This window comes from Homo sapiens, chromosome 7, assembly GCF_000001405.40.
Source record: "Homo sapiens chromosome 7, GRCh38.p14 Primary Assembly".
Classification (NCBI taxonomy): domain Eukaryota; kingdom Metazoa; phylum Chordata; class Mammalia; order Primates; family Hominidae; genus Homo; species Homo sapiens.
The window spans coordinates 130,995,510-131,018,168 of NC_000007.14; the positions used below are offsets into that span (position 1 = coordinate 130,995,510).

The 22,659-nt window shown below is 41.3% G+C and overlaps 1 long non-coding RNA gene across 10 annotated transcripts in view, besides 3 other annotated features; it reads right to left on the minus strand.

Moving 5' to 3' along the window:
* Nucleotides 1-22,659, minus strand: part of LINC-PINT (long intergenic non-protein coding RNA, p53 induced transcript) — a 232,364-nt gene that overhangs the window by 117,948 nt on the left and 91,757 nt on the right. For 2 of the 10 annotated variants that reach the window (NR_170175.1, NR_109850.1), the window contains exon 4: nt 6,688-6,811. The exons of the other annotated variants lie outside the window; for them this stretch is intronic. This is a non-coding gene — a long non-coding RNA (long intergenic non-protein coding RNA, p53 induced transcript). The remainder of the gene's footprint in view (nt 1-6,687; nt 6,812-22,659) is intronic. 10 annotated transcript variants of the gene reach the window in all.
* Nucleotides 12,115-12,214: an enhancer, noted in NCBI's record as "active region_26662". NCBI's record gives its function as "activates an Ori minimal core promoter by ATAC-STARR-seq in GM12878 lymphoblastoid cells {active_cell/tissue: GM12878}" and the evidence as "EXISTENCE:reporter gene assay evidence [ECO:0000049][PMID:35858748]".
* Nucleotides 13,884-13,933: an enhancer, noted in NCBI's record as "active region_26663". NCBI's record gives its function as "activates an Ori minimal core promoter by ATAC-STARR-seq in GM12878 lymphoblastoid cells {active_cell/tissue: GM12878}" and the evidence as "EXISTENCE:reporter gene assay evidence [ECO:0000049][PMID:35858748]".
* Nucleotides 13,964-14,093: an enhancer, noted in NCBI's record as "active region_26664". NCBI's record gives its function as "activates an Ori minimal core promoter by ATAC-STARR-seq in GM12878 lymphoblastoid cells {active_cell/tissue: GM12878}" and the evidence as "EXISTENCE:reporter gene assay evidence [ECO:0000049][PMID:35858748]".

Genomic DNA, 22,659 nt, shown 5'->3' on the forward strand with positions numbered 1-22,659 from the left:
AAAGAGCTTGTTTCAGTCATGGTATATCTAATTAATTTTCCCAGTGCGGTAGAGTTTTATTTAAGCTACTTTCTTGAAAGGAATACTATCAGAGCCAGTCTCAACCTCAAAGTACAGATGAGACAGTACCAACCCTGCTGCTTAAAAAGCCATATAATTTTAGGAGGGCTGGAAAAGTCCCAAGGCTCAAACCACAATTCACTCTCACACAGAGCCTGATTAGAAGCAGTTCTAGGCAAAGCTTTGATCCTGTTAAAATGTACAAGCTTCTGGGAGGCGTTCACTTTATGCTGTTATCGCTTTGTAGGAAAAGTTGCATTGTTATCTTTCTAAATACAGTTTAATGATAAGAACTTCAGGTGGTTTCCAGGCATCTGATTCACCTGTCCAGTTCTGACTTGTTCCCTGCTGGGTACCTGGAACTCTCCAGGACCTGGCACATAAATAAGTGCTCAATATTGCCAGCGTGGGCGAACAAACGAATGAATGAATGGCTGTCATTCCTGCAGATGCTAGGTTTAGGGCAAACCTATGACACACGTAGGTATCACAGGGGCAGCCAAGTTAGGCAAAATTATCACATTAAAAGTCTAAATGTGAACAAGTAAATCTCCGCCAGATAGTAACAGCTGAAAGAGACCTCAGGCATGTTTAAGTTGTATATGTAGAGAATGGTCTTTTTAAAGATTATATTTTAAAATGCATATGCAGCAGAGCTAATATACCTAATGAAGAAGGTAATAAATGGCTTAAGAAGGAAGTGATGTCTATGTAATTTCCCCCTAAAATTATACTCTCCCAATAGGTAACGTGCCCTAGGACATCACCTTTTCTCCCAACAGTCTCCTATCCAAGTCCTCTGTGTACTCAAAGTCCTCCCCAAATGCCTTCTTTTCCAGGAAATGTTCCCTGGCTTTCTGGCCAGAAGAGGTCACTCCCCAGTTTGTACTCAAAGGTACTTTGTTCTTTCTTCTTGTACACAATTCATTTTCTGAACTGTAGTTATTTTTCTCATGTGCACTACCAACTTGTCCCTAACTTCTTCCCTGTATTCCACAGGGAACCACACATTCTTCCCAATGTAAACCAAGCATCTAGTAAAAATCAGGCTGTTTTTTAAAAGACTCCTGTGGAAGTGCTCCAAGGATACCACAAACATCTGTTTCTGATGTTCAAATATGTTTTGGATATTTTTTAAGCTTTAATTTAAGAAAACAACCTGAAATGGTTTATATGCAAACTTTTCACGCACTGCAGATCTCTGCCCATGAATGAGATGTGTGCCAATAAACCCGGCCAGGCCGGGCAACCTCGCAGCCCTCACAGGAGGCTGCTCTGCCCGCTCTGTGCTTGCTCACATGTGAACTTCTCCTAAGTGTGACATTGGTGAGGGAAGCTGTAGCCCCAGCTCGGCCCTGTGAGAAATACCTGCCTGCAGCGTCTGCTCTCCTAAAGTTGTTCAAGCAAGCACATGAATACAAAACCACACCCTAGCGTGGGCTTCGATTAAATGCCAGGCAAGGCTCAGGGCCATCTGTACGGCCTTGCTTTCATGGCACCATAAAGTCCTTTGTGATAATATCCCACTTGAGAGAGAGTAAATATTTATTCTAAGAATTAGATGTTTCCTGTATGACTAGATTTATGATAAGGAATGTGAGCAACTGTTTCCTAAGTTCAGTTACAGGGTTTCTCTTACAGCTTTGAAACAAATACTCCCTACCTTCCACGAGCTGAACTAAAATGTATCCTGGGATCCTAAGGCAAGGTATTTAAACCAAACCAAAAACTCTGTTATAGTTTGCAAACAATTTTCTATAAAAACAGACTTTAAAAATATCCTGCATTTAAAGCAAAGTATACAATTTTATTAAAGAAAGAAGATGATGTGAATATAGCCATGATAAGTTAACAACACCTGACTTAAAATGTTTTCTGTCTTCGTAACAGCCTCATTGTTCTTACTGACACGGCAGTAAATAAACTTCATGAACGTAAACTTCAAAGAGTTTATCCTAGTAAGATAGCACTTTATCTGTTTTACATGGTAGAGTTTCATGTAAGATTTCAGTTAATGAAAGGATTCACTGCTTCCCAAAAGTTTGAAAACTTCTCTTAATGTTCCTCAAACATCAGTCTGTAGAATGACTGTAAGACACCTGGAGAAGATGTTTTCATACACGTGTTCCTGGACCATTTTCCTCAGTAATTTCCTTGTAATAGGTACAAAGGTAAGAATCTAAACTTAGGCAAAAAAAAAAAAAAGAAAGAAAGAAAGAAAGAAAGAAAGAAAGAAAAGAAACCACTAATCTAATACCATATTCACAGAGTTTATTTAACTCTGTCTTAAAATTTCACTGACAATCAATAGCCAGAGCATCAGTGTGGCTTCTAGAATCTCACTTTATTTAAAATTTGGACAAAGATGATTTTTCTTGCATTCGGCCCCTATTCTGCATGATTTCTCAAAGTCAGCATCAGGGTTTTTCAATATTTGCATGCTCCTTCAGCACACCCGAGAGTTTGAGAAAAATTATATATATATATTTGAGATGGAGTCTCGCTCTGTTGCCAGGCTGGAGAGCAGTGGTGCGATCTTGGCTCACTGCAACCTCTGCCTCCCGGGTTCAAGTGATTCTCCTGCCTCAGCCTCCCAAGTAGCTGGGACTACAGGTGTGCACCGCCACGCCTGGCTAATTTTTGTATTTTTAGTAGAGATGGGGTTTCACCATGTTGACCAGGATGGTCTCGATCTCTTGACGACCTCATGATCTGCCGGCCTCGGCCTCCCAAAGTGCTGGGATTACAGGTGTGAGCCACCGCGCCCAGCTGAGAACCATTAATATTTTTTAAATTTAATTTAAAGTTCTGGGATACACGTGCAGGACATGCAGGTTGGTTACACAGGTAAACGTGTGCCATGGTGATTTGCTACACCTATCAACCCATCACCTAGATATTGAGCCCCACAAGCATTAGATCTTTTTCCTGATGCTCTCTCCCCCACCCCCAGAGTATGTTATTCCCCTCCCCTGTGTCCATGTGTTCTCACTGCAGAACCACTAATTTTTAACAGTAGTCACTGAATATCTCCTCCCACACTAAGCTACACTTCCCAGAGGCCTCTGCAGTTCTGAACTCTTTACAGTTTAAAAACAGTTTCCTTGCTTAAAAATATGGAAGTAAAACAGCAGTTGAGCAGAATCACGGATTTTTCAGACACAAAGATACTCTGAAATGCAACTACTCTATGCTGATTTTTTTCAGATAAGGGAAATATATTTAAGAAACAAGAAATATACGCAAGATGAAACAGGTTGTTGGCAAAGTGAGAACTCAGTAGCCAGGTTTCCATGGTTTACTAAATAAAGAGATCTAAGTTCAAATTCAGATTCTTCCACTCCCTAGCTGTAGGCTCCTGATCCAATCTTATGAGCCCCAATTTCCTTATAAACAGGAATAATACAGTATGTGTGAATATATTATTCCTGTTTATACCCATAAGGATTGTTAAGTAAATTGAATTGAAGACACTTAACTGTCTTCTACAATAGTGCCTGACTCCAAGTAGTAAGCACACAATAAATGTTGGTTGTAGTTATAAACAGATTTTTGTTGTGGTTTTAGAAAAAAAGAGGAACATTCCCCATGTATGAGGTATGTCTAACCTGAGACCTTTGTGTTTTGAAGGCAGAGACTGAAGGAATTAGGTGCTGGAGCCCAGAGCTGCAAGTGTGAAGGTTGTGGGCCTGTGGGAACACAGCTGGAAGTGACTCAATCCCTGGGGTTGGTTTCCCCAAAACTGGGAGGGGAAGGGATTAGGGTCCCATGAAGAGAAAAGCCCTGACCCACTCACACACCTGCAGGAGGCAGGATTCCAGATGAAAGTGTTGTCAGAGTGGAGACCTCAGTGAACACAGGCTTGGGGGCACTCTGCAGAAACCCCCTGCAAAGCACTAACAGAGGTTCCCTTCTGAGAGGACGCCAGGGGACTGGGCCAGGGACATGAACAGAGCAACCACAAATGGAGCGGGGTCAGGAGTCCCTCTTCCCCTCTGGTGGAGGGAGGGATCCCAACAACGAGAGTGGGTTTCCCACACACTCTGAAAAGCGGGAACCCTCATCAGATTCTATTTGATTCAGAAAAATGATTTAAATCAGGTTTAGCCTAAGGTCACGCAGCTAGTAACAGCAGAGCAAGGATTCAAAGCCAAGTCTGTCTGACTCCAAAGCCCTCACTCCTGTTGCCCATGCTGCCTCTGTGTGAGCAAACTTGTTCAAGCATGAGTTCCACCAACTATAGATCACCAGTAGTGTCTTCTCAGTATGCAGTTTTTCAATTAAAAATATTTTCTAACTAAAAAGTTTTTGGTTTTTGGAAGGACTATTTGGATGGGCTCTAAACCAAGGGGTTGTATTTACAATGGCTTCCCTCTATTAAAGTTAGGAGAAAAGACTCTACAGTGAAGATTCTGTATTTTTTAAAATGCAGTGGTAAATAAAATTTATAGTAGTCCAGTGGTTTGGACTGAGCTCCTGCACTAGGCCCCAGAGACCAAACCAAAATGGAGTCGCTCAGGCTGAAATCCCAAGCCACCAAGTCAAAACTAAGTTGTTCCAAGAAATCAGGAGAGAGAGAGAGATAAGAGCCAAATCTCCAAAAAGGCCAGTTTTAGCTGGCATGATAAGGAAGTCCCCTCTGCTTTAACCTTTGTAAGGAAAACAACTTCGAAATGATGAATAACTTTTTGTTCACTGTTTTCTTCAGCCCTTTTCTGCCTATAAAACCAACCTCCTCTGCTCGGCTCATCGTAACACCCACTGTATTTTATAGAATGAGGTGTTGCTGTACTTTAGAACAGCAAATAAAAGCCAATTAGATCTTTAAGCTAATTTTATGGCATTTTGTTTTTTGACAGCGGGTCAGTCTTCAATACCTCCAGAGATATGTTTAAACCAGATACAAGAAACAAATTTCTAAAGAAATGAATCCACCTGAGTGAAAGAAGGACGGTCATACTTCTAGGTGTCCTCGTTCAGATGAAGTACTGGCAGTAAGTCAGGCAACCAGCCAGTTACGCTGGTGAACAATGCTGGCCCTCCACATACCTCGGTTTTTAGTGGACAATCTGATAGAAGCAAGAGTCCTGTTATATCCAGATAGGGGGGGCCTTGACAAAGAATCGCTGAGGGACTAATTTATTTGATGTAAGCCAAATAACTTTTTCATTTTCAAATTACAGCTATTAACAAATGTCAGATTTATACAAATGAACTTAATGCCACATCCCCCCAAAAATGGTTTTAAATTAAGATATATTTTCTAGTTTTGAGATGAATGACTTGAGCATGTGTGAAAAGATCCTAAAAGGATTCCTTCTTGTACTGCTAGAGGTGAATGCCAAAAGTGAAAGGCCACAACATCCCAATGGGTGACGGGATTCTTGTGGGCTTCTTGCCTAGGACAAAGACTTCAGCAGGGTTACCTATACTAAAGACTTGCTGGTAAGCGAACAGCACTCCCACTGTGTAGGAGCTTCTGGGAAATGCAGAGCCTCAGGGCTCCATCCCAGAGCCACTAAATCAGAATCTTTTAACAAGATGCCCCAGGGTTCTCCATGCAGGGTAAAGTTTGAGAAGCACTGCACTTCAGTACCTTAAGTAAATGCAGATGCACTGTGTTTAAGTGTGATCAGTCTTCTGTTCTGTGATTTCAATCATCTATCAGAGCTTTCTTATAAACTAAATGTTCCTTAAATATTTCCAAGGAAGAGACCGGCTATTACTCTCCCTGGAAAAATGAGCTGATGTTCATCAATCTATAAAACACTGACTCCACATAAGCTGTGTCACAGGCAATAATTTCCTTGATATATACTAGTACCATCAATGCTTTATTTTTATTTTTTTGTTTCTGATTGTCCCCAAATGACAGAAACTCTTAGAATTTAAAAAAAAAATCCTAAACTTAAAAAAAAAAAATTAAAAATTCTATTTCACCTTTTACCACCGTTTCTCCTTTTATATCAAGTAATCAATGGTGGGTTAATGACTTCTTAAATATATTAATAAGGAGTTGTAGATGAATAAAATCTATAAAACAGAAACATACTTTGATAACAAAATCGTATCTTCCAATCACCTCAAGCTTCTTGCAATTTTTCTATGTCTAAATCAGATTTCTAAACCAGACCCTCCTTAGAACAAGAGACAAACTTTATTTTCTCTAGTCTCAGATTCCCAGGGTGGCTGTAAGTAAAGGGGAAGAATACTTAGAGTTTACTACTTAGATAAAACTTACAGATATTTTCAAAAAATAGAATACCTTCTCCAACCACAAAAGTTTAAAAAGTCTCAATTACAGGAAAATTCTGTACTTTCAAATTCCAAACAAATTTTAAGTTATGTTTAGGTGTGTATGAACTGGGGACACCAAAGGAGGACAACTGGATTATCTAAATAAATAAATATTACCACAAACAATAAAGGGAGTACTTGAGTGCACATTTACTTTAAAAAGTAGCTTTATCGGCCACGTGCAGTGGCTCACACCTGTAATGCCAGCACTTTGGGAGGCCGTGGTGGGCAGATCCCCTGAGGTCAGGAGTTTGAGACCAGCCTGGCCAACATAATGTAACCCCATCTCTACTAAAAACACAAAAATTAGCCAGGTGTGGTGGTGCGCACCTGTAGTCCCAGCTACTCAGGAGGCTGAGGCAGAAGAATCACTTGAACCCAGGAGGCAGAGGTTGCAGTGAGCCGAGATCGCACCATTGTACTCCAGCCTGGGTGACAGGGTAAGACTCTGTCTCTAAAAAAAAAAAAAAAAAAAAAAAGTAGCTTTATCAAAGTGAAGACTTGTGAACTATACTACATTGAAAACAAGTATCCCATTCAATAAAAATATTAATGAGTCACTCCTATATGGTAATGTGGCATATTATCTTGGTGTCCCCAAGGAATCATGCCTACTGGTGATCACACCCATGGTCGTGCCCTCCCACACCAACTCTGGACTGGACCAGTGGGACATTAGAAAGCATGATGCAAGCAGAAGCTTCATGAATGCTTGCATACTAGGTGAGACACGTCCAATAAAAGTATCTCTCAGAATATCTAGTGATATTCAGCTGCCCTATTAAAAAGACTAAGCAAGCCATGTAGATAGAGAGGTCAAAACCTCTCCACTATCCCCATTAAGGTGTTGGACATGTGAACTGTCTTGGATATTTCAGCCCCAGTCACTATCTTACTGTAACCACTCTAGATAATCAGAGAGACCAGCAGAAGAACCATCCACCTGAGCCCTAGCCAACTCACAGACTAATGAGCAAATAAAATGATAGTTGTATGAATGTGGTAAGTTTTAGGGTGGTGTGTTATATAGTAATAGACAATCCAAACAACTAGGAAACGGTATCTGCCTTAGAATGCAAGAGACTTCAAATAAGTCTAGGTTTATTTAGATTTTTAAATTCTTTTGTAGATTTTTTTTTCTACTTTCTGTTTATGACCTACAAAAGATAAGCTCATACTTAAGAGAACATTAAATGGTCTAAGGAGGGAGTCATTATAATCTACTTGAAATAATGCTGCATTTTACATTAGTACAGCATTTTCTATCTATTATGGCTTATCAAATGCACACTAACTTCTAAGGCAGAGATTCTTAATTTGGGGGGAGCAGGGGAGAATTCCCTCTGAGAATCCAAAAAAAAAAAAAAAAGATAATGGTCCCAGAAACACATAACTACATATTTTTTTAAATTTATTTTTATTTTTTGTTTTTTTTAAGAGATAGGGTCTGGCTATGTTGTCCAGGCTCATCTTGAACTCTTGGGCTCAAGCAATACTCCCACTTCAGCCTCCCAAGTAGCTGGGACTATAGATGTGCACCACCATTCTTAGCTTTATACATGTAGTTTTAAGGAAGACCATCTATGAACGCCAGGTTAAGAATCTATGTTTTCTAGGGAAACAGGTCTTACTAGCCTAGTAACACTGATAAGTAAACAGAATTCTCTGGAAAATGACCTACCTAAGCTTATACAGCTAGTAATTGATAGGACCAGCAATCTAGTCTGTCAGAGGATATACCACTAAACTCTTCTTTCTAACTTTAGTTTACAGTCAAAATGGGATTGCTGAACCTGGGAAAAAAATAAATGCTTCCCAATTTCCTATTTAAACAGTGTAAGAATTGGGGGTGGCATTTGAAGGTGGGAGAAGAAGGGCAAACTTGTTAGTTTACTAGTGTGAGCGGTAGATTTTTATGCCAACTGGAATCACTGAGATTAACCTTATGGACGGACTGTAGACTGGAGATTAAAGTCCACACTTGAATTTGGACGATACAATGCGCAACAAGCACAAAACATTCCATTATTTTTTCAATGGTTTACTCATACTTGATCCTCTTATTCCCTATCTACTTCAAATTACTTAGAAAAATCTGTATATACACAATATGAGAGAGCTTCTTTATATTATTTTTAATTTTTTGTTGCTGTTGTTGAGACAGAGTCCCGCTCTGTTGCCCAGGCTGGAGTACAAAACATTGCACATATTTTTTTCAATGGTTTACTCATACTTGATGAGAGAGCTTCTATTATATTTAATTTTTTGTTGTTGTTGCTGAGACAGAGTCTCGCTCTGTTGCCCAGGCTGGAGTGCAGTGGTGTGATCTTGGCTTACTGCAACCTCCGCCTCTCAGGTTCATGCAATTCTCCTGCCTCAGCCTCCCGAGTAGCTGGGATTACAGGCGCATACCACCATGCCCAGCTAATTTTTGTATTTTTAGTAGAGATGATGTTTCACCACATTGGTCAGGATGGTCTTGAACTCCTAACCTCAAATGATCCACCCACCTCAGCCTCCCAAAGTACTAGAATTACACACATGAACTACCACACCTGGCCTATATTTGAATATTTAACAATTAAGCTGAAAAGCTTCTTGATGACATATCTTTAGAGATGATTACCAAGTTACATCTTCCCCTTTTCCATATCTGTGGGAAATATACCCAACACAGTGCTACAGACTACCAAAGCTGGAGTCCTGGTGCACTTCCTCATTTCTGACCTGACAGCTACCACACTCGGACCAAAGACAGTAGGCCATCTGAGAACCCACACAGGCACTTGGCAAGTCTATAAAATGACTTGCAGACCAGTGGGGATATCCATCTCCAATCTCAGCCTTTGACTGGAAAATTCCAATGTACAACAAGTTTTTGAAAAGATAAAAAATATATATTTTTACTATTTCTCTGTCTCTCTTGCCTCCATCTCCACTCATTCAAGCTTTACCCACTTTTCTGCTTTCTGCACAACTGCCACCTTTTGCATTAAAACTTCCCATAAACCATACCTTGCCTAGCGCAATCTCTGGGAGAAAGAAGTGAACTCCCACAGCACTCCATCTTTGCTGCTCCAACAGTGCCATCATTTTCCACCCTACACGGTTTTTTTGGCTTTGTTTTGAAGACAGGGTCTCGCTCTGTTGCCCAGGCCATAGTGCAGGGGAGTGATCTCGGCTCACTGCAGCTTTTAACTCCCGAGCTCAAGCAATCCTCCCACCTCAACTTCCCGAGTAGCTGGGACCACCAGCATGTGCCACCATGACCGGCTATTTTTTTAAAAAAATTTTTGTAGAGATGGGGTCTCACTATATTGCCCAGGCTGGTCTTGAACTCCTGGGCTCAAGCAATCCTCCCACCTCAGCCTTCCTAAGCGCTGGGATTACAGGTGTGAGTCACCACACCTCACCTCTACCTTACACAGTTTTATTTCTTCTTTAAGCAACATGAGCATAGGATTTGTGTGGTTTCATCTTTCTTCTAGTGCCTAGCATCCTGCACATACACTATGTGTGTCTGTGTGTCTGTGCATATAGCCTGGAAAAGCATGTAGACACACACCCAAATTTACCAAGCACTACTATGCCCAGGCACTATCTCTTACCTACACTGTTGCAAAAATCATCCATCTTCACAAAGTCTCCTTCAAGTAGTCATTATCATCATTCCCATTTTGCAGAATAGCAAACTGAAATTTAGAGAGGTTAATACTTGGCCAAAATCACAGAGATAGTAAATGGCAGAGCTGAGACTGAAATCCAAGCCTGACCAATTAAGAGCCAAGGCACTTAATAATAAATTTAATACCCATTCGATATGTCATTTAGTGAACAGCATTTCTACACAAGGTACTAGAATGAGAACGTTAGGAATGAAGATAGCCCAAGGTCAACAACTATAATATAACTATACGACAAAGGAGAAAGAGCAAAGTCCAAGAAAAGAGTGCATAACTATTCACAATAGCAAAGACTTGGAACCAACCCAAATGTCCAACAATGATAGACTGGATTAAGAAAATGTGGCACATATACACCATGGAATACTATGCAGCCATAAAAAATGATGAGTTCATGTCCTTTGTAGGGACATGGATGAAATTGGAAATCATCATTCTCAGTAAACTATCGCAAGAACAAAAAACCAAACACCGCATATTTTCACTCATGGGTGGGAATTGAACAATGAGAACATATGGACACAGGAAGGGGAACATCACACTCTGGGGACTGTTGTGGGGTGGGGGGAGGGGAGGGATAGCATTGGGAGATATACCTAATGCTAGATGATGAGTTAGTGGGTGCAGCGCACCAGCATGGCACATGTACATATGTAACTAACCTGCACATTGTGCACATGTACCCTAAACCTTAAAGTATAATAATAAAAAAAAAAAAAAAAGAAAAGACTGCATAAATGCTAAGGATGCTCACAGGAGTATGAGATCACTTTTTGGGGGAATGGAGGTAGAGAGGGGTAGGAGTAAAGATAATCATGAAGAAGATGGCACTGAGTTGCAGCTTGGATTTGAACAAGCAGAAATGAGAGGTAACAATATGTTAAAGATTAAACTGGGCTCACCTTAGTATTCTTCCTAAAGCAGCAAAGTGGGCTAATATATTACGTTCAGTTATATTATCCTTGATAGCAAAGACAATTTCATATACTTGTTTTTATGCAACATTCACATTCTGGAAACATCCAGTAAATATTTACTGATCGAGAAAGGAGGAGAAAAGGGGGCAAGGTGGGTGAATAAGAAATATTAAATATTTCTTTGAATACTTAATTAGTTCAAACACACAGTTTGTTCCACATGCAGTCTGGTTTTACAATATATGTGAATTAAATCCTTCTAGTCACTAACAATCTTTCACTAAGTTGTATGTATTCTCTGCCCATAATACTGGAAGAATCTAGGTGAAAAAAAAATTGCCCAGTTTTTTCTCTGCCCAATTTTAAATCTTCATGTGTCCAGCGATGTCTGCATTCAAAGTGATTAGGCCAAATCACTGTCTTACCAGTTTTACTCCCAAAACTAAGTACAAATCCATTTTAATCTATTTATCTGTACATCAAAAGATTTTTCTCTAGAAAATACTTTTTTTTTTTTTTTTTGAGACAAGTCTTGCTGTGTCACCCAGGCTGGAGTGCAGTGGCATGATCTCGGCTCACTGTAACCTCTCCCTCCTGGGTTCATGCAATTGTCCTGCCTCAGCCTTCCGAGTAGCTGGGATTACAAGCATGCACCACCACGCCCAGCTAATTTCTGTATTTTTAGTAGAGACGGGGTTTCACCATGTTGGTCAGGCTGGTCTCGAACTCCTGGCCTCAAGTGATCCACCCACCTTGGTCTCTCAAAGTGCTGGGATTACAGGTGTGAGCCACTGCATCTGGCCTACATTTGTATTTTAAAAAGGTAAAATTAACAAAAGGTGCCCATCTACGTAAAAAAGTCAAAAGGAACCATCTACCTGCAAGGCAGCATGAATAAAAATGTAAAGGCAAACTTAACTGTTACAATAACATATCAGCTCTGAGTCTAAAGGAAAACGGGTGTTTGTCTAAGAAATGTGCTAGAGAGAACCAGCCAGTTTTAATGTGCCTTAAGCAATGAAAACCTGTTTCCTCCTTTCCTTCTTGTCCTTTTGAAAAGACAACATGTCACAGGGAGACGTTTTTCTAACAGCATCCATCCTGGTGACAAATGTTTGCCAAGGGTGGGGAGAGAGGAGGGAGGAAAGAAAGAAAAAGAGAAGGAAGACGCCATCTGCTGACGAAAGAGAAAAGAAGAGGAGGAGGAATTGGAAGGCGCCACTTCCGGGTCCGTGTCTGAGAAATACAACGTATCACCATAAGGCAGACTTCTACTCAATATAAGGAAGAACTTTATAATAATTGGAGGAATTCAAAGGCAGAATTGATCAGGGACCAAAGTTCAAGCAGGGGGTGGCGAGGTCTCCTCAGGCAGAATAATCTTTCGTAAGCTTCTCCCTCTTGAAGGAAGAACGGCCCCAGTTCAAGTAGAAGAAAATACTGTGCTTATTATTTTTCTCTAATTCTTAAATGTTTCAAATAGTCTCTATCTTGATAATTCACGATTCAAAGGACTGAGACTGAAACATCAAATAAGCAAGCACACAAATTTGCCTGACACCACCTGCCCCCACCCCTAGTCCCTGGGCCTTATTTCTGGGCTTGCTGCTGGGCTCTCCACGGGCAGCTGGCTGCCATCGCTCCGCTGGAGGGCGGTACCATGAGCACGGATGGGGCCCACATGGCAGGCAAAGCACTGGAAATTGATGCCGCACCCCGCTGCTGCCTCTCAGTCAGCAACTGGCCAAAGCTGATGTGTAAGTGACCCATGTGGGCTAACACTGAGGCCTGGTCCTTACACTGGCTCCCAGAGTGTCCAGCAAAGTTAGGCTCCAATTGTTTCCCTATCTCGCTTCCCTTAAAATGTTTCTTTCACCTTCCAAACAGATAACATACATCTCTGTCTCAGCGGAACTCAATCCAAGAAAACACCTCACACCATGATGATATAAAGATGACATAATCTACAAATCATTGAAGATTCTCATCTTGGTTTCTTAGATTTTCTAGCCACATATTTTAGACTCAGTTTTGTCACACAGTAACACAAAATATACAGGTATTTATACAACAAAATATTAATATAAAACAAGTTATCAGTCCTATGTTTGTGAAGACTAGAGAGTCCACTAGACTCATAAAAGGAATGATGAAGAATACTATCATTTCTTTCAATTTTTTCAATTCTGAGAGCGAGTGACTTTGAAGTCAAAAAGACAAAAATCACTGCAGTATAATGAAAAGAAATTCCAAAGCACTATTTTGTTATGTGGAGAAGTTCACTTTCACAATTACTAAAGGCTTACTGTGTGTTTCAGACGCTGTGCTTGGTCCTACCTAAAATACAAAATCAAGACCACCCAGGCCCTGCTCTAAGGAAGTCACTCTCTAGAAAGGGACAGAGACATGTAAGTAAATAATTCCACTCGAGTGTAATAAGTGCAATCATTCAACCTTGGACAAAGACACTAGAGGAAGGTCTGTCTGTAGGGGGAAAGGTCAAAAAAGGTTTTGTCATTTAGTATCATGTGAACAAGGTTCCCAAGGATTCCTCTAAGAGCTGACTGGGGACTCCAGGAGCGAGAGGGGACACACGAAGTAGAGACTCAGCCTGGGAGGAAGCAGAAGGGTGAAGCAGCTTTGTGCATTCATCTCTCCCTGGCTTCAGTTCAACAGATGGAAAATTAATAGGCATATGAAAATAAATAATTTTTTCTTCTAGATTATAAGATCCTCACGCTACATCAATAATTACTTACTTGACAAAAGTCAGAGACATTTTCTGTCTCAGAAAGAGCCTCTAAAATGCTGTGCCCTCATGAGTCACTCTGGTAGCATAAATCAGAGAAAAACTATCTGACTCAAATTACAGTTACTGTAAAAGTTCATTATTACTTACTAAAAGCCCTCAGGTCTACAGCCATTGGGGGGTGGGGGGGGGGAAGCCTCCTATTTTTAGAAATAAGACTTATTTTCTCATCTTCTGCATGTTTGGTTTAATTTAAACTTATTCTTGGAGTTTCAATAGACATTGATGGCTATGGTCCAGTTGCTGAGGCAAATCTCTCTTTAACTCTATGGGAGGTGAGAGGCTCCAACGGGGACCAGACTTTGGAAACTGCACACCATCAAGGGTTTGCCATTAGAGGACTTCTCTTGTCTAACAGAAACAGGGCAATGCTACAACCTTGTGATTCTTTTCCTTCTTCTAGGCTATCAGGAAGAAAACTGAATATCCTTACATTGTGAGGTCAGATGTATGGCTTTCATTCTGAATGCAGTAACTTCAAATGTAGACACGTGAACAGAAAGCTTTGTAACAGAAAAACAGCATTGTTTCGTTAGATGACTATAGATAGTATTTCATAAAATACAAGAAAAACACTCAAAATTAGCTCCAAAAAATGTATGAAAGGTGATACTCTGATATTTAATAAAACTGAACCTCTCACAACAATAAAATGATCCAATTTCATATACCAATCAATAAGCAAGGGTCTACTAACTTCACCAAGAAAGAGAAAAAAACCTAAGTTAATGCAAAATAATTTGGATCTTAAGGACGTCAATAACATGGGCCTTGCAGAAAGTTCCAAAAAACATGCTTTCATACCTTTAACTCTATGAAAAACAAACAAGCGTTACCTCCTGCAGCTAATGAGCACTGACAGGCTCAAGGTAGTCGCCATGCTATGAAATGTGGCAATAGCTACAATGTCATCTGTTTAGTTGTTCATCAGTTCATTGCTTAGGAGCCACTCAGAAGCAGCTGGGCGCAGTGGCTCATGCTTGTAATCCCAACACTTTGGGAGGCCGAGGCAGAAGGACAGCTTGAGTCCAGGACTTGGAGATCAGCCTGAACAACACAGAGAGACCCTGTCGCTACCAATAAAAAAAATTAGGCGGTCGTGGTGGTGCACACCTGTGGGAATTTGCTGTGCTTGTGGCCAATTAAGTGTTCCACTCTGAGGACAAAAATGAATGAACCTGGGAGTCTAAGATGGGAGGATCGCTTGAACCTGGGAGGTCGAGGTTACAGTGAGCCGTGATTGCACCACCGCACTTCCTACATTCTTTTGCAATAGGAGCCTATTTTAAGTCATTCTTAGACACACAAATAAGTTAATTTTGGGGGGCAGTCTTGATCTGGATTCTTGCTTTCCTCTGCAGCAGTCCTATTATTAAGCACCATCTATACCCAGGGCACTTTCTTTTGCTCATTTTACCCATCCCAAACCTTGGCAGGAAATCCAACAGCAATGCTTTCATTCTTATCCCATCCTAATCTCAAGATATCAGTATGAAAGTCTTGAAAGTAAGGAACTAACTCAAGTAATTTCCACTTCAGATTGACTAATGGCACACTGAATGGCTCCAGCATACTCACTTACTGGCCTCTGGCAAGTGACTTAACCTTCCTTAGTTTCTTCAACCAGCAAATGAGAAGGCAGAACTAGATGACCTCAAAGGGCCTCTCAAGTATCAAAGTTTTGCTTCTGTGAAATACGTATGAGCAAGCACACTCAAGTGTAGACAATATAGATTGGCAAATAAAAGCAAGTAGGACAGCAAGAAAAGTCCCAGACTCTCAGATTCAAATCTAGCGTCTTCTCAGGAACTCAACCTACTCACACAACTATTTCCGAGAGCACTGTTAACTGCTTGTCAGAAAATGCACGTAGTAGTTCCACGGGTCATCACATTAAAAAAAAAAAGATTTGATTTCCATGTTTAAGTCAGTTTCAGAAACTGGGTTAAATAAAGTTAAACAAATTTCTCAACATCCTAGACTTTTACAGTGCTAAGAGGGCATGTGAGTTGCTAGGAGAGGTATTACAACAGAGCATTTTCCCAAACTTAGTTGCCACAGCATCCTTTTTCATAGGGCAAATCCTGCAGATCTTGTGTTCCCGGGAACAACTGGGAGTTTGCTGTGCTTGTGGCCAATTAAGTGTTCCACTCTGAGGACAAAAATGAATGGACTTGAAGGGCCACTCAGGGCCCCACCAGAAGGAGCCTTGGCTGCAGATCAAGACCCTCGACTCCACTGCAGGTTCTGCTGCCAGCTACTAGTTTGCACTGGGCCCCATTTAGCCACCTCCCCAGACCTGCTGGGCCCCACTGGCCTTCCAGGCATCCGCTGCCAGCTTCCTTCCCCAACACCCAGCCTCCCAGGCCCCAGCAGCACAGCACGGGGCCATCCTAGGTCTCTGTTCTCCTCTGACTAAACTTTGCAGAAACACTGGCTGCAGTGGCTGCTCCCATGTCACAATCCGAACAATTTATGGCCTTAATTCCACTATCATCCTAATTTCTACATAATCATGTAATAAATATTGGTAACATTTTGGAATTATTGCATAGAGAATTCTAAAAAAAAAAAAAAAAAAATTCCTAATTGTCTTGAAATGTTCTCCAATGTAGATATAACTAAAGAAAATGAACCACAGTCTCTCTTCCAACTATTTTCTTTTCACAGAACTCTCCTAATTAGCGAACTACAATTAATACTAGAAATTAGAGGAACCACGTGGGATTCTTTGAAACAAAAAAAAAGCTTTTCTGATAAGTATTATTGACTGAAATACAGTTAACATGTTTGTCACTTTCAAAAAGCCACAAATGAATTTCTCTGAAAAACCCAACGTCTTTATAAAAAAAAAAAAAAAAAATTCCACAAAATTGGGGCTCTGCCAAAACGTGAATGTTGCAAAACCATGTGTCACATGCCCTCCTTCAGTTTCATGTTAATCACTACAGCAAGGATTAAACTTTTGGAGACTGGAATTCAGAAAGGTCAGACAGGGATTCAAATGCTGTCCTAGCTGGCTGGGAAGTACTGAGGCAAGTTACTTAATTTTTCTTTAATCCCAGTCCCGTAAGCCATTAAAGGAAAACAGAAATACCCAGCTCACAGGATGGTTAAGTTTTAAGTAACATCAAGCTGAACTTGCCTAGCAGATTGGAACCTACATTAATTAGAATTAGGTTTGGCTCAGGGTGGCAGGAGACCCAAAATATCAGTGGCTTAAACAAGAGAAGTTTCCTTCTCAGGGAAGTGCCCAGGAAGGTTAGCATGGCAGTCCACCCATGTGTGACCTCAACCTCACGGTTCAAGATGGTGGCTTCCACATTCCAGACAGAACGGGAAAGGGACGGAGAAGAAACGGCAAAGCAGGAAGACACACTGTCCCTTAAGGAAGGTTCCTGGAAGGGCCCACGTGGTAACTCACCTCCCACTGACCAGAATTTAGTCACATGACCATATAGCTGCCACGGCCCCAGCTATGAAGTAGGTCTCAGGTTGCTATATAAAGCAGGAGTATGGACACTGGGGGCCAACCAGCAGGCTCTGCCACAAAACCCAGTAATGGCTCATCTCCTATCTCCAGTGGCTTCAGCTTCCAGGAGGAGTAACATTCAGCCTGTAGGCACTGGTACAGCATGCCAGTTATTTGAGCTGGCATCCGCCCTGAATGACTGGATTCCCATGCTGTCCTAGTAGTTAAATATTTTGCAAATTACCCTTGCCTTTGGGAAGCTCTGCCTTAAATTTCCACAACAAACAAGATTTCCTTAATAGCACATGCTGTTTGGGACATACATTTTCCCCAAACTGATTAGTTTTCTTTCCTGAAAAGGTACAGAGCCCAGCAACTTGCTTTAACAGAAAAATTAATTTTGCTGAATTACAGGGTTCAGTTTTCAAAAAGGAACACTTCACCGTTAACTCTACAGGCACTCCATCTTGATGCTGCTGTCTCCTGGACGCACAAGTACGGAGGCGTGGTGGTGGAAGAAAGCCACTGTCTCCACTGTCTACGTCCCCACCCTGCTGTCCTTCCCACCTCTTCCTCACTGACAGTACCTGTCAGCCAAGGATGGGGGAGGAGAAAGAGCAGTGTGGACTTTTAAGAGAACCTTCAATGCACATGTGGCTTATCTGTGAGCAGGCTGTGCCGAATAAGCCACAATGCGTCACAATTTGACTTAAACTCAATTAACGCTAAGATTCATTTTCTTTTCTTTTTTGAGATGGAGTCTTGCTCTGTCGCCCTCAGGCTGTCCTCAGGCTGGAGTGCAGTGGCGCAATCTTGGCTCACTGCAAGCTCTGCCTCCCTGGTTCACGCCATTCTCCTGCCTCAGACTGGTGCTAAATCAGGGTGACCCAGACCTAAAATAATTTCTTTTCAATCTCATCTTTCTGTTCTAATTATTTCCAAGAGTTTCAATCAGCATTTCCTAAGTTGTGTTCTACAAGTGTTAAAAAGGGTTGTATTTAAAAAAAAAAAAATCAGTACTAGAAATACTTTTTTCCTAAAACGTATTACATTTATGTAAGAAAAACAGTTTTAAAGCTTTAATTGTTGCAGAATAGCCAGAAGCTAAGAAATGCTGGGCCGGCGTCAGGAGAAGGTGTGCCCAGCGGCCTCGTGCGGGTTTACGCTCTGGCCACAAGCAGCCAGCCCTACGCTCTCACTCAACCGTGCAATTCTTTCTGTCCTACGTGACCCTAGTTTCCTAAATGACCTATTCTGCATCCTGCACATTTTAAGAATGTGTTTTATTTCTCCTTCATTATTTGATTGATTTTTTTCTACTACTAAAACAAGCATATATTTACAAAGTATATGAAGCAACACGTATACGGTGAAAGTCAATCTTTTTCACCAGTCTTCTTGTACTGTTTCCATTCCCAGAGCAAAGTATTCTGTTTCTTGTGAATCTTTCTAGATTACGTATTTCCTAACCATAAAAGGTGGCATAAATACATGCTGTTTTGCACACAATACAGAATGCATTTCCAATATTCTAATTTTTTATCATTTTACAAAGCTTCAATGTAATCATCAGCACTTGCTGTAACTAATGTTACTAAACGCTCTGGAGCCGAAATTGAACAGCAGCATTTACCGTTATATATAGGTGCTGTTTAACTATGTATGGACCTCACCAATTATCAGTAATAGTCCAACCCTGAAAAGCTATTGGCACCAATTTTCTTTCCCACAATTAACTTACTATGGAACACTAATTCTCAACAGACAGCTGGAAGACATGTCTTCCGAGAAAAGCATCAGAACTTCAAGTGGGAAGGGAATGAAGATGCAAGCTCTCCATCCAATCACAGAAATTTCACGATGTCCTCCCTGGGAGTTATCGCTTCTCCCATCTCTCTCCTGTGGAAAGTCACTGCATTTAACGACAGATGTAACTGAACCAAGTGCGGCACTGTGTAACAGAGCCTTCTGCAACAGTGGAGATGTCCCCATCCATGCTATCCAACACCAGAGCTACCAACCACAAAGGACTAAGGAGTACTTCACATCTAGTACAACTGAGGAATGTTTCAGTTTAATTTAAAATACGGATTCAAATGTAAATAGCCACATGTGCCTAGCGGTCACTGAATTGTGGGAAGTCAGAAAAAGATACCAACTCTTCTTATAAAACAGAGGAATAACAGGAACTGTGTATGAATATATAGGGTAAGCCTAGCAGATTACGCCCAAGCACATCTCCTAAGAATTGTCTTTCTTAACATATGCAAGGCTGAGTGGACCAGTTCCAAAAATAATTTGTTTAGTTAAAGTTGGAACAAGCATCAAGTTATGTTGCAATTACCTCTAAAATTTGAAATTAAAATAATTTTAATTTACCCAAACTCTATGTTTGATTATGCATTCTGTTTTACATTTTTCCTGGCATGACGTTGCATGTGGATCACACTAAATTAACAGTTTCCCTGTTAGGCGAAAAAAACAAACTGCAGAACGGTATGTACAATGTTATGCCAACCATGTCAGTGTATATGTTTGTATAGGAATACAATTCCTCTAGAACACTGCTGTCTAACAGGACACTTTGTAAGAATGGAAACGTTCTATGTCTGCACTGTTCATCACGGCAGCCACCAGCCACATGTGGCCATGGCACACTTGAAATATGGCTAGTGTGACTGAGGAACTCAATGGTTAACTATATTTCATTTTAATTAGTTTAAATTCAAACAGCCACAAGTGGCTAATGACTACCTTATGAGATGGTGCGAGAAGACTAAACAAACCCCAAACTTAAAATGGCTACCTCCCAGGGATTATGACTGGAGGGAAGAAAATAAACTTTTACTTACTTTAAATACCACTGTGTTGCTTGGATCTACTTATTTAATTGTGTACAACTGGCATGTACAATGCATTAAACAAACAGATAAAAAGGGGAGGTATCTTAGCCAGCGTGGGCTGTTCTAACAAAATACCATCAACTGGGTGACACAGACAAAAGGAATTTATTTCTCACAGTTCTGGAGGCTGGAAGTTCAAGATCAAGGGGCCGGCAGATGTGGTTCCTGGTGAGGGCTTTCCTCCTGGCCTGCTGTGCCCTTACAAGGCAGGGAGAGACGGAGCACTTGGGTCTCCCTTCTTCTTATAAGGACACAAATCCCAATATGGGGGCCCTACCTACATGACCTCATGAAAACCTCATTGCCTCCCAAAAGTTCCACATCCAAATACCATCGCATTGGGAGTCAGGCCTTCAATATAGGGATTTTGGGGGAAGACAAAAACATTCAGTCCATTACAGAAGGAGAAAGGGAAAAATCAAAGATTCCTTCTCCTTTCTGTATTTTTCTCCACTCCATTCGCTTAGCTTAATAAGTACTATGGAAACATTAGGCATCTGAAATCTGGTTGTGTTTTGTTTTGTTTTGTTTTGGTAGAGACAGGGTCTTGCCGTGTTGCCCAAGCTGGTCTGAAACTGTTGGCCTCAAGTGATCCTCCTGCCTCAACTTCCCAAAGTGCTGGGATTACAGGTGTGAGGCACCGTGCCTGGCCTGGTTCTTGAATAGCTGGAACAATGGCATTTCCAACCAAGCAGATATGCAACCAAGTATCTGGACCTTAGGCTATTATAAATTCCAGTGTGAAACAATGTACTAGTGATTCAAAGTCCTCATGTTTACACAATCTCTTGATGACCCCAACAAATGAATGGAGGTGCCAAATCCATGCTAGGCAAGCTGGAAATGACACTTCCCTTGTTACCTTTAACCATACTTGTTCATTGTTCATTGCTGTGCTGCAAGGAGCTGAACTACCTTAAAATGGTCCCAGAAGCTCCCTCTGGGTTGCCTCAACCAACTAGCCTCTCCCAGCTCTTTCCTTTGGAAGCCAAAGGCACTTTATTCCAGTGGAAGAGGTCATATTCAAGCTCAGCTTCCCACAAGCCCAGTGGCTTCCTCCACTCTGAGTGTGGGGATACCGGGGTTTCCCACAGATACTGAGGTCTCCAGGTACAGGGATGCTGGCATTCCCAAGCAATGCCTGCAAACAGCCATCCCAAATCCATATATCCCGATCCTAAGCAGCCTTTATGTTCACCCACGGTCAAAGCTGCTTTCTTGTTCCCCATAAAAAAAAGATTAGGGTGGTTGCCAGGGGGTGAGGAGAGGGAAAAATAGGGACTGATTGCTTAATGGAAACAGGGTTTCTTTTGTGAGGGGATAAAGAGGCTTTGGAACTAGACAGAAGGGTAGCTGTACAACATTGTGAAGGTACTGAAATGCCATTGAATTATTCACTTCAAAATGGCTGATTTTATGTTATGTGGATTTTGCCTTCAAAAACCTATTAAAAATAAGGCCAGGCGTAGTGGCTCATGCCTGTAATCCCAGCACTTTGGGAGCCAAGGCAGGTGGATCACCTGAGGTCAGGAGTTCAAGACCAGCCCAGACAACATGGTGAAATCCCGTCTCTACTAAAAATACAAAAATTAGCTGGGTGTTGTGGTGCGTGCCTGTAATCCCAGCTACTCAGGAGGCTGAGGCAGGAGAATCACTTGAACCCAGGAGGCAGAGGTTGCAGTGAGCCAAGATCGCGCCATTGCACTCCAGCCTGGGCGACAAGAGAGAAATTCTGTCTCAAATAATGAATGAATGAATGAATGAATGAATGAATGAATGAATGTCAGGGGCAACATTCCATCAGTCACACAGAACTGCCCTGGTGGACCGCCTTCCTCCCTGTTCTCAACCAAGCTTTGTAAGATTTCCTTTTCCCTAACAAGCCTTGTAGAATTTGTCCTGAACCCTAGGGACCATGAGGGAACTCGCCTAACCTCTCCAACACTTTATGTTTCCAACACAGCCACAGATCCAGCTGTTGCTCTGGAGTTTTTCTCTGTGAATATTTTTTCATCTTGTTCTGCTATTTCCTACCATATTCCCCACAAGGAACTTTCACTCAGCATCCTACTGGAATTCAACATTGTGGGTTAATGCTATGCTCCTTGTCTGCAGTGGTGAAAAAATTCCTCAAGAGACTTTGACTGGAAACTTGATTGCTCTGCTTCAATCAAACACAGTGGCTGGACCTATCTGGACAATGGGTGCAATCATTATGATTATGGTCAATTAATATCACCAACCCATTGTTTGACTAAACTGACAAATGGCTGAAATAGTGGAATTAGCTGATTGTTCTCCCTTATTACACCCTCATACAGCAACCCCTGGTAGGAATATTAGTAGTAAGGAGGTGAAAGTAGGGGGATAAAGACAAATGGGTTTCTTCAGCCCTCTCTCTGCCACCTCTGCCACCTCTACTCCAGCCCCTGGTCATGCTCTAGAACCATGTTTCCAAAATAAATTTGACTACGAAATCCTTTTTTCATGGAACACCTGCCAACATCTCCTCCTATTC